Genomic DNA, 18,446 nt, shown 5'->3' with positions numbered 1-18,446 from the left:
AGAAGTTCCATTTGGTTCTTCTTCAGATCTGCTTGGCCATACTTGACTCTCATCTTTATGATTTCATCTTTTATTTCTTTAAACATTTCATACACAGTTATATTATATTCTTTAGATTTCAATTCTAACATTTGGAGTCCTGTCCACATCAATCATCTGTTGTTTCTGCTACTCTTATTTATGGCGGCTTGCCTCTTGTCCCTGGTGATCTTTAATTACTTCATCTTGATCTGTGGGACTTCAACAGCGCTGAATTGAAGATGTTTTTCTATAGAGAGGATTTCCATCTATTCAGGTGGGTGTTGTGTTTACCATCTGGAACCACTTAGGACAAATCATGGTTCTGGTTTTGGTTTATGGTTTGTTCTTTTTAGGGTAGGGAAGGAGAGTATTCCCTGGAGATTTTACCTACTTCCTGTGAGCTCAGTAACATTTTAAATAAGTATGTTTTATTCAAGATACATAGCTATTTCTCCAGCGTATCTTAAATATTCCATCATTTTGCCCAAGGAGAAAGTCTTACCATTTTCTTCATCATTTTGGGGAGGGGGGTGATAAATATTTTCCACAGAGTATTAATACACAGTGTATTATCATTTTGCTGCTTAAAAAATTCCCCAAAATATAAAGAAAAATAGGCTGGGTGCGGTGGTTCACACCTGTAATCCCAGCACTTTGGGAGGCCGAGGTGGGTGGATTGCTTGAAGTCAGGAGTTCGAGACCAGCCTGGCCAACATGGTGAAACCCCATCTCCACTAAAAATACAAAAATCAGCTGGGCGTGGTTGCGCACATCGGTAATCCCAGCAACTCAGGAGGCTGGGGCAAGAGAATCGCTTGAACCCGGGAGGTAGATTGCAGTGAGCCGAGATCATGCCACTGCGCTCCAGCCTGTGTGACACAGTAAGACTCTGTCTCAAACAAACAAACAAACAAAAAAACAATGATTCGATGTTCAATGTAGCTCTTTTCAAATAAAAGTTTTGTATGCCACAGAATACTTAAAAGAAAAGCAGACAAATCATTTAGATTTTAAAATCCCCTGAACACAAGACTGCTCAGCGACATGAAACAAAGATTGAAAAACAAAAGCAAAAGAGTACCCAGCAACTTCAGGTTTTAGCTTATTGTTAAAAAGAAAGAGAGGAAAAAAAGGAGGTAATGGAATAGGGCTTTTGCTCTCTCTGGTTTCCCAGACTTAGGAGCCTAAGTTTTAAAAAGTCAAGTTATAGGGACTTCTGAGTCACATTCTCACCTTTATACTCCCCCCAATAAGATCAGGAGGCTCCTCATCTGTTTCCAAGGCGACATTTACAGAGGCAAAGGGACGGCTGGCCATCTGTTGCATCTCTCGAAGAAGTTGCTGATAAATAATATGGCAAAGCCATTAATGGAATGAGTACTGAAGGGGTTTTATTAGTTAATGCTACATGTTAAAAACACCTCATCCTCCCTGATTCAAACAAATCAAGTCCAAAATGATACTTTTTAGACTTGATATTAGATAACATTAGGGATTACTAAATTTTGTTGGATGTGATAACACCATTGTCCTTATATTTTTTAAAAGCCCCTGTCAGAGATACATATTAACGTACGATGTTTATTGCAGCACTATTTACAGTAGCGAAGACTTAGAACCAACCCAAATGCCCATCAATGATAGACTGGATAAAGAAAACATGGCACATATACACCATGGAATACTATGCGGCCATAAAATAAATGAGTTCATATCCTTTGCAGGGACACGGATGAAGCTGGAAGCCATCAGTCTCAGCAAACCAACACAGGAACAGAAAACCAAATACTCCATGTCCTCACTCTTAAGTGGGAGTTGAACCATGAGAACACATGGACACAGGGAAGGGAACATCACACACTGGGGCCTGTCAGGGGTGGGGAGCAAGGGGAGGGAGAGCATTAGGACAAATACCAAATGCATGCAGGGCTTAAAACCTAGATAACAGGCTGATAGGTGCGGCAAACCACCACGGCACATGTATACCTATGTAACAAATCTACATGTTCTGTACATGTATCCCAGAACTTAAAGTAAAATAAGAAAATAAAGATAAAAATAAAAGTACTGTGGATTTAATGCTATGACGTCGACTTGTCAAATACATAAAATGGTGTGGCTCTATCTCCTCGTATTTCTACTACTAAAGTCAGGCTTGCTTTCTTCCTACTGAAACTGGCACCAAGGATTCACAGGACAACAAAAACCTATGCCTCATTATACGGCAGATAGGAACTGAAAGAACCCTTCCTTCAGAGAGGTGGTATAAGCTAAAAACAAACAAATGTGAAATTTTGCAGAGTAGAGGGACAAACAGGGGCTCGGGATTTAGGGAGGCTTGATGTGAACTCCTGCTCCAATAGTCTACAGCTGTGTGACCTTAAGAAAGGTGTTTGAAGTCTCTGGGCATCCGTGTCCTCCCTCTGAAATGTGTTCCTAGCCCATAAGGTTGTCACTGGGATCAAATGAGATACTACAGCACAGCGCCTAGCACATGGTGAACGGCCGTTCACATATCATTAAGGATATTAGAGATCTTTCTGGGCATGATGCTGAAGCTTTGAGGTTATGCCTTGGGATACAAGTAGGCCTTACTTCAAACTGCCTCCTTGGAACTACTGTAGAAGACAGAATCTTGGCCTGGATAGATATGGCTCTGTTCTAGAAGGGCATTTTTATAAATATTTTCTTAAAATACCAACATTCTTACATTTTTTAAAGCTGTAGGTCCATTTACTCGACTAATATATGCAGCAATGCTCCTTGGGGTCTGTGCTTAAGTGCTGGGGTCACAATAAGACAGGGTTCAGGAGGCAACATGTGTAAAAGCACTTAAAACCGGGGCTGGTGTGTAGCAAGGACTAAACAGCGTCAGCCGCTACTACTATTGTTTTTAAAAATAACATCAAATCATTGCTTCTACAATTCTGAGAGGGAATAAATAATGGCTGACATTTTAAAAATGATGAAATATATTCTGAATGGTCAGCTTCACAGTTACAGAGAAATTCCAAATCACACGGGTAAAAGCATAGTTTATTAGATGACCAACTCCATACTAAACACATATATATATTTTAATCTTTTTCCTGTAGGCTGTGCATCTTACTTTCTCTCATGCACACTGCAAACAATTTCCAGTTGATTGTTTAGCTTCTGTGTTATTCATTTATTTTTTGATATACTTAAGCCTTCATTTTTATGCAGGCAAATCTCTACTACATTGTTTTAATAACTTTATATGAAAATAATAATTTTGTTTCCTTTCCAATAGTAACAACACTTCTTAGTGCCCTTTCACTTAGTGCACAGTCTAGAACATCTAGCACAAAGCTGAATGACTGTAGGATTACACGAAGATAACGAACTTGGGCTGTGAAGACAGAAGTCCCTAGTTAAAGCCTCGTCTGCCTCTTAGTTAACTATGTGGTGTAAGTCACTTCACCTTTCTGAGCCTCAGTCCCCTCATCCATAAAACATAACGAGGGACAATACCTATTTCATAGGTTTGAGATAAGGATTAGTTAATCTACGTAAAACCACTTAGAACTCAGTGCCTGGAATTTTTAAATGCTCAGATGTCAGCTCTTGTTAAAACTAACTAGCCTGGATACAACCTCTGGTGTTTGTTTGTTTTATCATGAGTGATGCTGGTTATCCAGATATTCTTCATAGCGTTAAAAAGGTATTTTTGATTTTACTGTGAGTTTTGTTTTCAAATTAGGAATGGATATTGAGTTTCAATAAATGACGAAATGATTTCTGGGCCACTAGGAAGAATTCAGGTGTTATTTTTTCCCCATTGACATGATATATTCTTTTTTTGACATGATATATTCTAATAGGTTTTCTGGTATTAAGTGACTCTTTCATTACACTGCAATTAGACTGCTGCACATACATTCACTATGCAGCTGCCCTTTGTATTTTGGTGCTACCTTTGTCAGGTTTTGGTACCAAGATTTCTGTGTATAAAATCAATTCGGACTCTTTCAAGCTTTCCATCTGTTCCTTTGCTTTACAGATTTTAGAAACAATTAATTCTCATAAGCACTCAGGGAGGAACAGGCTATCATAATCTCCATAAGCTCATCTCAACCTTGAAACTCCCTGGGTCTAATGTCCTTCTTGGAGAGAGTAGCACTCAAAAGTTTTCAACTCCTTTCTTGATAACTGGTTTACTGTGGCTTCTTACTTCTTTCTTACTCCATTGTGAATAAATATACATTTAAATTAAATTGAAAATATAATTTTTTTCAGAACATCACGTAATTCATTAGGCTTTTAAAGTATATCAGTAATACAGTTATCTAAAAAACCCTTTGAATATGTTATCCACTTATTTAAAAAATAATAATAAAGAGTGTGCAACATTCCCTCTATGATAACATCATCTTTATGTGGGTCAGAAAAGGTGGTACTGTGGCCCACAACAAGAGGCCCATATCCTGGAGCCTGTCTTAACCCTATTCAGACATGAATATCCTATCAACAGTGCTGAGTGCTTGTGAGTTGTGATTTTACATACTTCCCTTCTGTTCTAAATCTTATCTATAAATACATTTTTATATAGAAAAAGGCATGAGTAGATCCAAAAAAACCCCAGACAGCTTCTTTGTCTAGATCTTATATACACGTGAGCATTTCCATTAGCAACAATGCCAACAATGCCACAGGCATGACTAAATGAAAGGCAAAGTAATGATGCAAGTGAAAGTTGCAATACACAAAGTTTTTATGTTGTAATTATTTTAATGGTGGTTATTTTTAAAATATTTATTTATTTATTTATTTATTTATTTATTATTTCAATAGGTTTTTGGGGGAACAGGTGGTGTTTGGTTACATGAATAAGTTCTTTCATGGTGATTTCTGAGATTCTGGTGCACCTATCACCCGAGCAGTGTACACTGTACCCGATGTATAGTATTTTATCCCTCATCCCCCTCCCACTCTTTCCCCCGAGTCCTCAAAATCCACTGTATCATTCTTATGCCTTTGCATCCTCAGGGCTTAGTTCCCACTTGTAAGTGAGAATATATGAAGTGTGGTTTTCCATTCCTGAATTATTTCACTTAGAATAACGGTCTCCAATTCCATCCAGGTTGCTGCAAATGTATATAAATATATATATATACATACACACGCACATACACACCCCACATTTTCTTTATCCACTCATTGATTGATGGGCATTTGATATGTTGTAATTTGCAACCAAGTTTATTTATTTAAATTTGTCAGCTGTAAATATTTGCTTATTACTTTTGGAATGAAGCTCTGGAAACAAATCAAGACTTATTTAAAAATAAAACTCAAGTTAAAAACTTAACTACACACACATTTATCTTTCCTTGAATAATGAAAAATTTTTGAGATGCTTAAATGGCTGATTTCCCTCTCGCATGACAAGTTCTCATGAAGGCGGTGCCTAATCACGCGGTGGCTGTGCTAATACGCCCTTGGATCTCTGGCCTCAGTCAGGACTTGGGTTCTGGTCTGAAGGATAAAACTGGCATTTCCAAGTCAATACCAGAGTTTCCTTTTCGGAAGGTAAGACACTGTGGTGCAGAACTAATTACACTTTATGTAGCACTCATCTAAGTCTACTGACCATATGCTGCAGAACCATGGACTGCAGAAAGGGCTGCATTATTCCTTCCGTGGAGATGTCTGTCTGTCCATTATCACTAAATAGCTAAAACCCACTTGCTTAAGAGAAAAAGAAGGAAAAAAAGCTCTTCCAGGGATTCTTTAATCTTTACCCACTGAAGCTTACCTCTCTACGTCTGGAGGCCCAACAACTTTGTTTGATCTTCCAAACCACAGCAGCCACCAGGAGCAAAGAGAGGAAACAACTGTGAGAAAGGAAAGTACTGAGTTATTATCCCAGCCCCCAGAATCAGCTCCCACCGTTGCCCACACCTCAGGCCAGGCAGTGAAAACAGCTCCCACATGCCACCTCCGGGCTCCCTTCTGATGCTTTGTCACAACAATGTGCCGGCTCAGGAGGTAATGAGTGAGACAACTTCGGTAAGCCAGGCTTCCTAACCAGGCCTCTAGACTGTATCGTTCCCATGTGGTATTCAGAGAGAGCCCTGACCTTCCACTTGGCCTTCATCAGAATGGCCCACAGTGGCTTATCCCAAATAAGAAAAATAATTCTAAGATAATTATAACAAATATTAGTCATGCTGTTTATTCAAGTTAGCAGATATTTACTGGTAAAATCTAAGAAGGTGAAAAAGTTAATTATTAAAGTAACAATCAACTTTTCATAAGGAAGAGGCAAACAGAAGAAATGTGTGTAATTATTAGTGTATATTCAATATTTTTACAAATACATATTTTTAAGTAAAATAAAACACATTTGAAATGATCAAACCCAAGCCAACAACTTTCTTAAAAATATTAAGAGAAAATAACTCCCAGTGGCCTTAATAGTTGCAGAGGATTTCAATGCTCTCTCATGTATAAACCAGGTGTGGAATGATTTGAAAAGCTACAGTGATGGCAAAGAGAACAGCTGACTTGCGGTTAAAAGGAAGAATAAGCTTAACAAGTAAAAAAATAGATAACTGCTATAACTGCATTTTTACTCATTAACTTGTAAAAGGGGCTAGCTACAGGGTATTTTTCCAGAGTGCTACATGTAGACATAAGGCTCTCTGCCAGTGTCATCAAGGTACTCTCTTGCTGGCTGAGCTCTGCGTTTGTAGGATGGGGTCAGCTTCATGAATGGCACCTCAGTGCACCCAACTGCTGACACCAACACAGCCCTCCTGGGCTGGCTGGAGAGAGGGACTCTAAGATGCTAGGATGACTGAACTGCCCTTATCTCAAGGCTCACTGCCTCCTCCCTAAGGGGTACAAGGGTGCAGACTCCTCCAATGGGTGCCCTGACAACAGGCAATTCAATAGGATTGCCTTCCAACCCCCCCAGGATCGTCACTTGGTGGAAAGCCTTCATCTCTGGGCCTCTCTGCTATCAGGACACTGCCAACTCTTCTGACAGTCTACATTGTCTTTTTTTTGAGACACAGTCTCGCTCTGTCACCCAGGCTGGAGTGCAGTGGCACGATCTCAGCTCACTGCAACCTCTGCCTCCCAGGTTCAAGCGATTCTATTCTCCTCTTTTAGCCTCCTGAGTAGCTTGGACTACAGGTGTGCGCCATCACACCCAGCTAATTTTTGTATTTTTAGTGGAGACGAGGTTTCACCACGTTGGCCAGTCTGGTCTCAAACTCCTAACCTCAAGTGATCTGCCTGCCTTGGCAAAGATTACAGGCCTCACGTGACTGGCCTACATTGTCTTTTTAATCAATACTTTAATTGGGTCAGGTCCTGTTCTAGGCTCATGGAAAACACTGATAAACAGAGCAAAGATTACTGTCCCATGGAATTTACATTCCAGCAGGTGGAGACAAACAGTAAGTAAATAAGCAAATTACAGAGCATGCCAAAAGGTAGGTAAGTGCTACAGAAATAAAAAGATGCTAAGAGCAAGGGGTTCAGGAGTACCAGTGGCACTCCACAGCAGGATGGTCAGAGTGTGTGGGCCTTTCTTTCTCAGAAGGTGACATTTGAACAAAGACTTGGAGAAGGTATGGGAGGTGGCTCATGGACGCCTGCAAAAGTGCATCTGGAAAAAGGAGCAGTCAGTGCAAAGCCCGAGGCAAGGCCGTGCCTGGGATGGCTTGGGGAGCCTCAGGAGGCCAGCATGTTTGGAGTGGGGTGTGTAAGGCCAGAGACAAAGGCAGAGAGAAGGGTGAGGGTGAAGGGCAGATCATGTGGGGCACTGCAAGCATTATGAGGGCATTGGGAAAGAGCCAGTGCAGGTTTTTAAACAGAGTGTTGTGATTTAACGTTTGCTGAGAAAACCATTAGAGGTGCAATGGCATTATCAGGGAGACCAGCAGTCTAGGTGAGATGATGGTGGCTCAAACCAGAGCTGTGGAAGCAGAGGTGTGAAAAGCACTTTGGAATCTGGACATATCAGTAGATCCATTTTAGACATGCAGAACCCTGAGATATCTACCGGACAGCCCAGGGGAGATGTCCTGGGCAGATATTCTAACCTGGAGGCTGGCTGCCAGGTCTGGGCTGGGCATGGCATTTGGAAGGCATAAGGATATATATGGTATTTCAAGCAATAAACCTGGCCACATTCACCAAGAGAGTGAATACAGATAGATGAGAATGTCCTGGGGCCACCCTAACAATGAGAAGTTGAGGAGAACAGGAAGAACCAGTAAAGAGGTCTGAGAATAACCTTCTCAGTCTTTCTTGGCTTCCACGCATAATCCTGATTTTTGTTATTTTTATTCTAATAGATAAACATAAGGAGGCAGCAAATCCACAAGGAAGAGCATGAAGCCAACGGCAACAGCTTCTAAGTTGGTCAAGAGCCTGCCGCTGCTGCTGAGAGGCGAGGACCCTGGTGTCACTCAGAAACCTCTCTTGGGTCCACCCGTAATACAGTCTGTGCCTGCTTCCCTCTATGCCTCAGGGAAGGTGAGAGGGCCCTTCTGTATTCAGTGAAGATCTGTTGACAACACCAGTTCCCCAGTCCCTTCTACTTGCTGCTCCAGCTACAAGAAGCTACAGAAAAGCAAGCAGAGGAGAGTCTCTTATTTCCCTCTTTAAGGAGGCTCCTTCCTGAGGCTGGAAAAGCATCTCATTAGGACACAGTCTCAACAGACTGTGTCAGGACCTAGAGTTTACTTTTCTGTGCCCGGAGTCTGGAAATATTTTTTCTAACTCACTTTACATTGATTTTCTCATTTGAATCATCGAATTTCCCCCCGACTTTTGTTCTTTTTTCCATATATTATATGAGCCATTCTTCAGAGTGCTTAGGATTATCTGGATACCTTTCCCCTTTTCCTTATAGGCTCCATTTTAAATTCTTTTGGACCAGGCTGGGAGCAGTGGCTCACGCTGGTAATCCCAGCACCTTGGGAGGCTGAGATGGGAGGACTGCTTGAGGCCAGAAGTTTAAGACCAGCCTGGGCAATATAGTGAGAACCCAACTCTACAAAAAAGAAAATATTAGCTGGGCATGATGGTGCATGCCTGCAGTCCCAGCTCTACTTGGGAGACTGAGGTGAGGAGGACTGCTTGAGACCAGCTCAGGAGTTTGAGGCTGCAGTGGGCTATGACTGCACCACTGTGTTCCAGCCTGGGCAACAGAGACCCTATCCCAAAAAAAAAAAAAAAAAAAAAAAAAAAAAAAAAAAAAAAAAAAAAAAAGCTAAATAAATTCTTTTAGACATGGTTAACTTGTCCTGGGAAAATATTTTCTTCCCCATGCCATGAAAGTAACTCTATTCTTAGCTAAAAGTTTATCATCGCTAGTTAGTAAACATCGTCTAGAAAAACCAAAGTTCCGGATTCTTTTCCAGAAGTTCAACCCCCACAAGGGAGAAGTGATGAAAATGCCATCTGTCCTTGTTTACTACACAAGAGGCCATGGGCCTGAAAAGTACTTCCTCGACTTATTCTGATAGTGTCATTCGGTCGCCCAGGGACTGAATGTCCAGTAGAAGTGGCCGGTCCTCACCAGGCTGTACGTACTTGGCAGCAGGGCCATCTTATTCCATACACATGCTCCAAGAATTTAAGGATGTCTACTGGAGCTACAATACAGCCCCTACATCCCTTAAAAGCAAGCCATTGACACAAGCTTTTTTCCCTGAGAGGTTGGTGCCTATGGTTCCTCCTCACTCTGCACTTACCCTGAAGAGTCTAAGTTTACTTCCCACAAATATCTTACTAGATTATGTACTAGATGCTGAAGCTGTGTGTGTATAGGAGTGAACGAGAGACAGTGCACTGCTCCCCTGAAGCTTGGGCTACCGACCCAGATATTAAGCAAGTAAACATATGAATATATTCTTCAAATTGTGATGAATACCACGATGAAAAATAATACAGTTCTACAGGAGTGAGGAACAAGGGGAGACAATTTAGCTTACCCCTTGGAATTTTCAGAGGGACAGGAGTGTCTTTTGTGTGCTAATGAATGACTCATGGGGAGAGGGGCCTAAAGAGCCTCAGATGCGGGGGCTGGTCACCAGAAAACCCAACTAGGTGGTTAGAGGGTTAGAACTTTCAGCTCCATCCCCCAACCTCCAAGAAGGGGAAAGGGGCTGGAGATGAGTTCAGTCACCAATAGAAAGTGATTTCATCCATCATGCCTATGTAATGAAACCTCAATAAAAAAACTCAGAATGATGAGGCTTGGGGGAGCTTCCAGGATAGTGAATATATCCACGTGCAGGGAGGAGGCTTGTCCAGAGACGGCATGAAAGAGCTGTGCTCACCCACCCCCATGCCTTGTCCTATTCATGTCTTCCATTTGGCGGTTCCTGAGTTGTACCCTGTATAATAAAACTGTAATTCTACGTATAGTGCTCTCCTGAGTTCTGTGAGCTGTTCTAACAAATTGTCAAATCTTGGAGTGAGCAGTCACCAGAAGCCCTGAATTTGTAGTTGGCCCAGTAGCAGTGAGGTAGCCTGGGGACCCATTTGTGCTTAGTGTCTGAAGTGGGAGCAGTCTTGTGGGACTGAGCCCCTAACCTGCAGGATTTGCTCCAACTATGGGTAGTGTCTGAATGGAACTGAACTGTGAGACACTGAGTTGGTGTCAGAGAATTGGAGAATTTGTTGTTGTCTGGAAAAATCAAGCAAGGTATGAAAGTATACAGAATGAAGGGTAGTGAGAAGAGTGTTCCAGAAAATGGGATAAGCATGTACAAATGCTCAGTGTAGGGAAAGAGCTTGTGCTTTTGAAGACATAGGAGATGGTCCTGGTAGCAGAAATGTGGAAGAGAAGAGTGCAAGCTGAATATGGAAAAGCGGACGCCAGTTCACCCAGGACGCTGAATTTTATTTTAGATACGACAGGAAGGTAAGGGGCTAGATACATGATCTTTAAAGGTCTTCTCTGGACTTTTTGTGGATTCTGGAGGGGCCAAAGTCAAGTGAAAAGGTCCAGGCGAGACTGTGATGCTAGGGTTGGTGGGGTGGGGAGTGGAGGTGGAGAGTGCACTGACGGCCACAGCTCTGGGGCCTGGTAAGGGAGTGCCTGCTGAGTGAAAGCAAGAGAAGTGGCTTGGAACCAGCAGAGCCATGTTGCCAGTTAGTGAGGTGGGGAACACCGGTGAGGAAGGATGGAATTGGTCACTTCTGGGCATGTCGTGCTGCAGATGGGGAAGGCAGAGTCCAGTCAGAGAACACAGAGTGAGAAGACGGCCAGGGTCAAGGTCTGGGAAAAAATCAACAGTGAGAGGCTGAATAGAAAAGATTGCATAATAGGCAGGCTAAGAAGCAGCAGTAGGGCAGCATGGGTCAGAGACGGCTGGAAGAGTCTCGCTCATGAAGCAGTCAGTTGGTTGATATCACCGAGAAGTCAAGAAGAGGAGAACCAAAAAGTATCCTTTGGATTTGGCAATATAGTGTCCTGCTTAATCTGTGGGGTTACATTCCCAGCCTCCCAGTGGATGCGTGAAACCATGGATAGTACTGAACCCTACATATACTATGATTTTTAGATCTGATAACCAAGACACTAGTGGGTGGGTAGCATAGGGGCGTGGATACACTGGACCAAGGGATGATTCCTATCCCAGGTGGGACGAAGCAGGATGGCACGACATTTCATCACACTACTCAGAATGGAGTACAATTTAAGACTTATAAATTGTTTATTTCTGGAATTTTCCACTTAATGTTTTTGGACCACGGTTGACCCTGAGTAATTGAAACTGTGGAAAGTGGATCTCTGTCTTGTTCCCAAACTCAAACTTCTAACATTCTACCATTAAGAAAGTGGTTTGCTGTTGACTTTTTATGTTGTTCCATTATCAGTGTTCCAGAAGTTTCTTTCTAGTTTTCTAAGAAATTTTTTTAAAAATGAATGGGTATTAAATTTTATCAAATGCTTTATCTCCTCCATTGATTAAGATGATCACAGTATTCTCCTTTTTGTTTTTTGAGATGGAGTCTCGCACTGTTGCCCAGGTTGGAGTGCAGTGGCGCGATCTCGGCTCACAGCAAGCTCTGCCTCCCAGGTTCACGCCATTCTCCTGTCTCAGCCTCCCGAGTAGCTGGGATTATAGGCGCCCACCACCGCGCCTGGCTAATTTTTTGTATTTTTAGTAGAGATGGGGTTTCACCGTGTTAGCCAGGATGGTCTCGATCTCCTGACCTCGTGATCCACCCACCTCGGCCTCCCAAAGTGCTGGGATTACAGGCGTGAGCCACTGCACCCGGCCTAAAAAGGTTATGTTACCAATGAAGCCACCTGGGGCCTAGAGTTTTCACTATGACAAAACTTAAATTAGTGTTGTTTTAAAAATGGATACAGAACTATTCAGGCTCCTTACTTCTTCTGTGTCAGTTTTGGCAAGTTGCATATTTTTCTTTTAATGGTCCCATTCCATCTGTTTCATTTTCAAATTCATTCACATAAAGTTGTTCATCAAATACCCTTCTGGAGGAAAAAAACGTCTGCGGGATTTGGAGGAATGCCCCCTTTTTTATTTCTGACATTGGCTACATATACCATATACCTTCTCTCTTTTTTCCTTGGTTAATCTTGCCAGGGGTTTGTCAATATTATTCTTACTCTTTTCAAAGATCCAACTGACAGTTTTTAAGATCCTCTCTACTGTACTTCTTCCCTTAGATCATTAATTTTTGCTCTTATTTATATTTTTCTTTCTTCTACTTCTTTAGGTTTAATTAGCAGTTCTGAGTTATTGAGAGGAATGTTTTTTCTTTTCTAATATGTGCTTTTAAAGCAGTGATTCTCAACCTTAGCTGCACATTGGAATCACCTGGAGAGTTTTCAAATGTTTGGGGTGCACCCCTAGAGGTTCTGAGTCAAATGGTCTGAAGAGTGGCTTGGACATCAAAAGCTCCGCAAGTGATTCTAGGTGCAGCTAAGGTGGAGAGCCACAGATTTACAGCTATAACCTCGAAGCACAACTTTAACTGCAACCCACAAGTTTTCAGTATTTTCTTCATCAACCAAATCATCTTAAAATTTATGTTGTGATTTCATTTATATACATTTTGACTGAGCGCAGTGGTTCATGCTTGTAATCCCAGCACTTTGGGAGGCAGAGGCGGGTGGATCACTTGAGGTCAGGAGTTCGAGACCAGCCTGGCCAACCTGGTGAAACCCCGTCTCTGCTAAAAATACAAAAATTAGCCATGCGTGGTGGCACGTGCCTGTAATCCCAGCTACTTGGGAGGCTGAGGCAGGAGAATTGCTTGAACCCGGGAGGCGGCGGTTGCTTGCAGTGAGCCAAGATCACAACACTGCACTCTGGCCTGGGTGACAGAGAGAGACTAAGTTTCAAAAAAAAAAAAAAAAAAAGAAATAATTCATATGCATTTCAAAAATAGCAAATGCAATGTATGGTTTGAGAAGTCAGGTAAATGGTACCTTTGGGGAAGAGGCAGGGGGTTGTGAGTGAGGGGAAACACAAGAGGAACTTCTAGAGTATTGGTAATATTAACTCTTGTTCTCAGTGAACAAGAGAATGGAACAGATGGAATGGGATCATTAGAAGAAAACTATATACAACTTGCCGAAACTGACAGAGAAGAAATAAGAAGCCTGAAGTGTTCTGGGTGAACAAGAGATAATATTATCAATACTCTAGAAGTGTTCAATTTGTGATAATTCACTGAGCTACACACATAGGATTTGCAAATGTTTCTGTAACTTTATATTACACTTAAATATACTTTTCTTTTTAAGAGAGAAAACGGATCCCATACAAAGAGTGGGAATTATAACAGCACTAGCCTTCTCAATATTATACTGGACACTAGAAAAAATAGTATAACGTCTTCTAAATTCTAATGGAAAATGATTTTGAACCTAGAATTCTGTAGTCAGACTTTTTTTTTTTTTTTTTTTTGAGACAGGGTCTCACTCTGTCACCCAGGATGGAGTGCAGTGGTGCAATCTCCGCTCACTGCAACCTCTGCCTCCTAGGCTCAAGCCATTCTCCTGCCTCAGCCTCCTGATTAGCTGGGACTACAGGCTTGCGCCACCTCACCCAGCTAATTTTTGTATTTTTTGTAGAGACAAGGTTTTGCCATGTTGTCCAGGCTGGTCTCGAACTCCTGAGCTCAAGTGACCCACCCACTTTGGTCTCCCAAAGTGCTAGAAATACAGGTGTGAGCCATAGCACCTGCCCCCAGAAATTCAATCAAATTGTAGGATAAAATAAATATATTTTCAGTCAGGAGAGCTCACAGAAAAGTTATCTCCCAGGCATCTTTTCTCATAAATCTAGAGAATGTGCTCCAGTAAAAAGAGGGAATGGATAGGAAGGTGAAGACATGGGATCTGGGAAACAGAGACTTCAATATAGGAGGAAGGCAAAGGAAGTTTCCAAATGACAGTTGTGCAGCAGGCCTCAGGAACAAGTGCACTTGGGGGCAGGAGGTGGGAAGGTTCTAGGGTGGGCAACTCCGAGAGAAATTCAAACCAAGAGAGCACCTTCCTGTGTGTGACCATTGTGAGATTTTTCAGTTCTGTCACAGTACAATGATACTTTATTTTATTTTATTTTTTACTGTTCTAAAGGTACATCAGCAAGAGTATAGTGATAAATCAGGGGTAGGCACATAGAAAAATCAAACAATTAAAAAGCCAAAACATGGCAAATACTACATTTAGGATAAGCAAAGAATGATCCTTCTACCCAAAAAATGTGGTAGTGTAATCACTGTTCAATGCAGCTGTGAATAAGAGTTTTATGGCCATAACATAGATAGGGATCACTGATTTAGCCATGCATTATGATACAATGGTATTAAATGAAAGAGATGGGGCTTTTGTATGCTTTTGTGGTGTGAGGGGAGATGCTAGGGGAGGCCATGTAACACAGTATATCCTCATCTTCTACAGTAGGACATCAAAAGAGAACTTAACTGAAAAACCAAGTGTAAACACAGAGAAGTAAAAAACAAAACAATTTAAATTGGGGGACGTGGGGTGGGGAAGGCGCAAGGCAGGCTATTGCTGCTTTCTGTTTTAAAAACTGCAGCACGTTTTTTGTCTTTTTCAATTATTTGTCTATAGTATTTTCATAAAGATAAAATTAGACTACGAAAAAAACTATGGAAATAAAAGAAAATCCCAGGGCACTAAAAAATCACTTTCAGCTTTAAAACTTTGGATAATCACCAGAATCATCTCTTGAACAAGCATAAGCATATGTGTAGCTCACATCAGTAACCATTATTAATTAAATGTTGTTTTAGTCCCAAATTCTCCCCATATGAAGAGCCAAATTATCTATAGGATGCATGCAAAATTAATACAGGATACATGCAAAGCCCCCCGCTGGAAGCCAGAACATACAAACCAAACGTTTTCACTTTGTCATGCTAGATTGAGTTTATATTACTGTAACTGACATCTAACTTTTCAGGAACACATATGAAGTAAATTTAATCTGTGGTGGAAACACAGGATTATTCTTTTTATCTTTTAGGAGCTGATACTCTATTAATGGATCTAGTGCCTAAATCAAAAGAACAGAGAGAGTCTGTATAAGCAAAATTACCTGAAGAAAGTCACGAAGAACTGTACCAGGTCCATAAAATTGCTGTGCTGAGAGAAGGCAATCTGTGACAGAAAAACAGGTAGTGTGATTATGCAGGTCATGAAACCACCACGGATTCACGCTTCTCATTTCAAGAGTTAAGCTGAAAACAGAGCTTACATTTTAAAGAAGTTAAGGAAACTTTTTTCACTTAAGGAAAAGTACCTCACCCCTTTAGTTTACTTGTTTAGTTGCCAGTCCCATAGCAATACACTGAGGCTTTAGCACAGCCTCCTGCAGCCCCTTCTAAGCTTCACACCAGTTCTGAGGTTCTGTCTGTTTGACCCTGGAGACCCTCGCATGCCTCCATGAAGCCTGGCGCTCCCTCCCTGCGCCTCCACCCACACACAAAGCTCTCCTTGTTTGCCTCAGTACCAATTCATGGCTCTGCCTCCAGGTGGGCAGCCCCATTCTGTGCTCTTCATTTGGTCAACATTTATGTACTCAGTGTGTACTGACTGCAAGATATTGTCCTTTTTACAAAAAATTGTGCCTCGCGTTTTGCTACACTGAACATCATCTGACACTACGTCATCAGAACTTAAATAATTTTATTATACAGTTAATAGTCTTCATACCAAGAATATAAAAATGCAACATATTTCATCAACTCTAAAATAACATTGGCTGAAAAAGGCATTATTCTGTGTATAATTTAGGAAAAACACTGTCAATTTAACTATGACATAATGCTTTTTAAGTCACTGACCATAAGATGCATCATGATTTCAGGGATATTAGCCCACGAAAAAATGCATACCTCCAAATTGATTAAATACGAGAATTGTGTCCTTACTATCACCGATAATATACGTGCTACTAGCCAGATGTTGTGGTGCGCTGCCTGCTTTTTTTTAGGGAACTCAGCCCTCTTTGGAGAGACAATGGTACTATAAACGAAACAATTACTGACCAAGGTGACAATCCCAGTACAGACAATTCTCATGACAAACACAGGAAGGTAAATGACGAGCATCTGCTTTCCTAGTCCCACCAAACCCCAACCCCTTGCACTGTTTTTAGAGCCAGACTCACAGGGGCCAGAAAATAGACTTCCACTGTTTGCTTTTTTGATGGCCCTATTTTCTTTTTGACATTCCATAAATAAATAAATTCCAACACTATTCAGGCCATAATATATTATGGGGCTTGGAATTTGAAGTTTTTGTGTCCTCCCTCTGGCTACCATTTATAATCAGAAATACAAAGTTACATCAATTTCATACAATAAACAGAAACCCACTTTCTTTTCTTTTCCTTCATTTATCACAATAACCAGTCCTAGCTCCTTGAGAGAAGGAAAGCTGCGGAATATGAGCCATGGTCCTCACATAAAAGTTTTAGATAAGACTGGAGAATTATATAAACAAGGTCATTTTGGGGAATGAAGAATCCAAGTTATAACACATAAAGAGAGAGAAGGAAACAGATTAGAGTCCACCCCAGCCCTGTCTGGATTTCAATCTTTTAAAACGTTAAGTGTGTCCTCGGTGTTTACACTTAAAGAATCTATGAGATACTTTTACTCCCTGCTAGATGCCAAAAACCACTGGATGCTAAGGGCACTGTCTGAGGACTTATCTGGTGTTCATGCGCCCTGTGCCACACAACACTCCTCAGGGCAGCCCCCGCCTTTACCCACACTGGATGCTAATGGTTATTAGCCTGATTTCTTGCTGAAGCAGGACCACTCCATGTTCATGTCCAAATTATAATCATAAAGAACCTCATATAAAACAGCTTTTGGTATGGCTGGTACCCAAGACTTTAAAGGGATCCTCTTAGTTGAATCTTTATCATCTAAGTCTCCATAGTTACAAGATTGTGTGAGGAGGCAAAGGTCATAACGTGAAAATGTTTATGAAAGCACTGACCACTTAGAAACATCTAACCCTGCTGAATACCCCGCCCACTGCGGTCAGTCTTTGTTGGTCAACCTTTGACTGACAAGATGACAAACTTATTGTTCAAACTGAACACTTCTGAAGATGAAGGAGAGTGCTGTTAAAAATTACACGAGGTAATTAAAAATTACTCAATGTAAAAGGCATAAACTTGATTAACAAACATACATTGGGCTGTCCCTACTCACAGACTGTCATACAATGCCAACCAACTGTAAAATCCATCTTGTAAAAGACAAGATTTTAGTGGAAGCGCTGTTGGAGAACTGCTCGCACAAAACCATTGGCAAAGGAAGACTTGGCAGATTTAGCCCTTCAGTTATCAACTGAAGAAGGGATAAAGGATGAAGCCATAGGAAGTGTTTCATAATTCTCTAAACGAGATTAAGGGAGGACTTTGGGAAAACTAAGGAGTTTCCTGGCTGTTGCTTTTTACATCCTGCTGTGAAGTCTCAAGTGAAGGACTCCATGATGGAGCTATCAGATTTCTGGGCACCATGTGCACAACTGAAGCCACACCCCCATCTCTTTATCTTGCTCTATTTAATTCATAGCCCGTATTTGTACACTTACTTATGGAAAATAAGATCTGTGAGGATTGAAGACAGAGACTTCCCCTTATCCCACTGACCATATATCTCCAGTGCCTAAAGCAGCCACTGATACATTAATTGGCACTTAATAAACATTTGCTGAATAAATGAATATGTTAATAAGAAAAATAATGATCTGTCTCACAGAACTCAGTAAGATCTGATTTTTTTTTCTTTTATGAACTTGGCTCATGAAGCAGCACCATACCTGCTTCATGATTGTAACTATAAATGTTGTTAACTCTAAAATTAAAGTATTTTCCCATACTTTTTGGTTTCATTTTTAAAGACAA

At 41.2% G+C, this 18,446-nt stretch overlaps 1 protein-coding gene across 2 annotated transcripts in view; it reads right to left on the bottom strand.

Annotated features, from left to right (window-relative positions):
- Nucleotides 1-18,446, bottom strand: part of ATRN (attractin) — a 180,101-nt gene that overhangs the window by 10,929 nt on the left and 150,726 nt on the right. The window contains exons 25-27 of one of the 2 annotated variants that reach the window (NM_139321.3): nucleotides 15,618-15,679; nucleotides 5,801-5,879; nucleotides 1,255-1,362 (exon numbers count right to left, since the gene is read on the bottom strand). In NM_139321.3, coding sequence (NP_647537.1) covers nucleotides 1,255-1,362; nucleotides 5,801-5,879; nucleotides 15,618-15,679 — 249 coding nt within the window. Of the gene's footprint in view, nucleotides 1-1,254; nucleotides 1,363-5,800; nucleotides 5,880-10,891; nucleotides 11,291-15,617; nucleotides 15,680-18,446 lie in introns of those variants that run through there. The other variant, NM_001323332.2, reaches the window with a different exon arrangement.

Source organism: Homo sapiens, chromosome 20, assembly GCF_000001405.40.
Source record: "Homo sapiens chromosome 20, GRCh38.p14 Primary Assembly".
Taxonomy (NCBI): Eukaryota; Metazoa; Chordata; class Mammalia; order Primates; family Hominidae; genus Homo; species Homo sapiens.
Note: the sequence above shows the minus strand (reverse complement) of the source record. Positions and strands in the feature narration are given on the sequence as shown.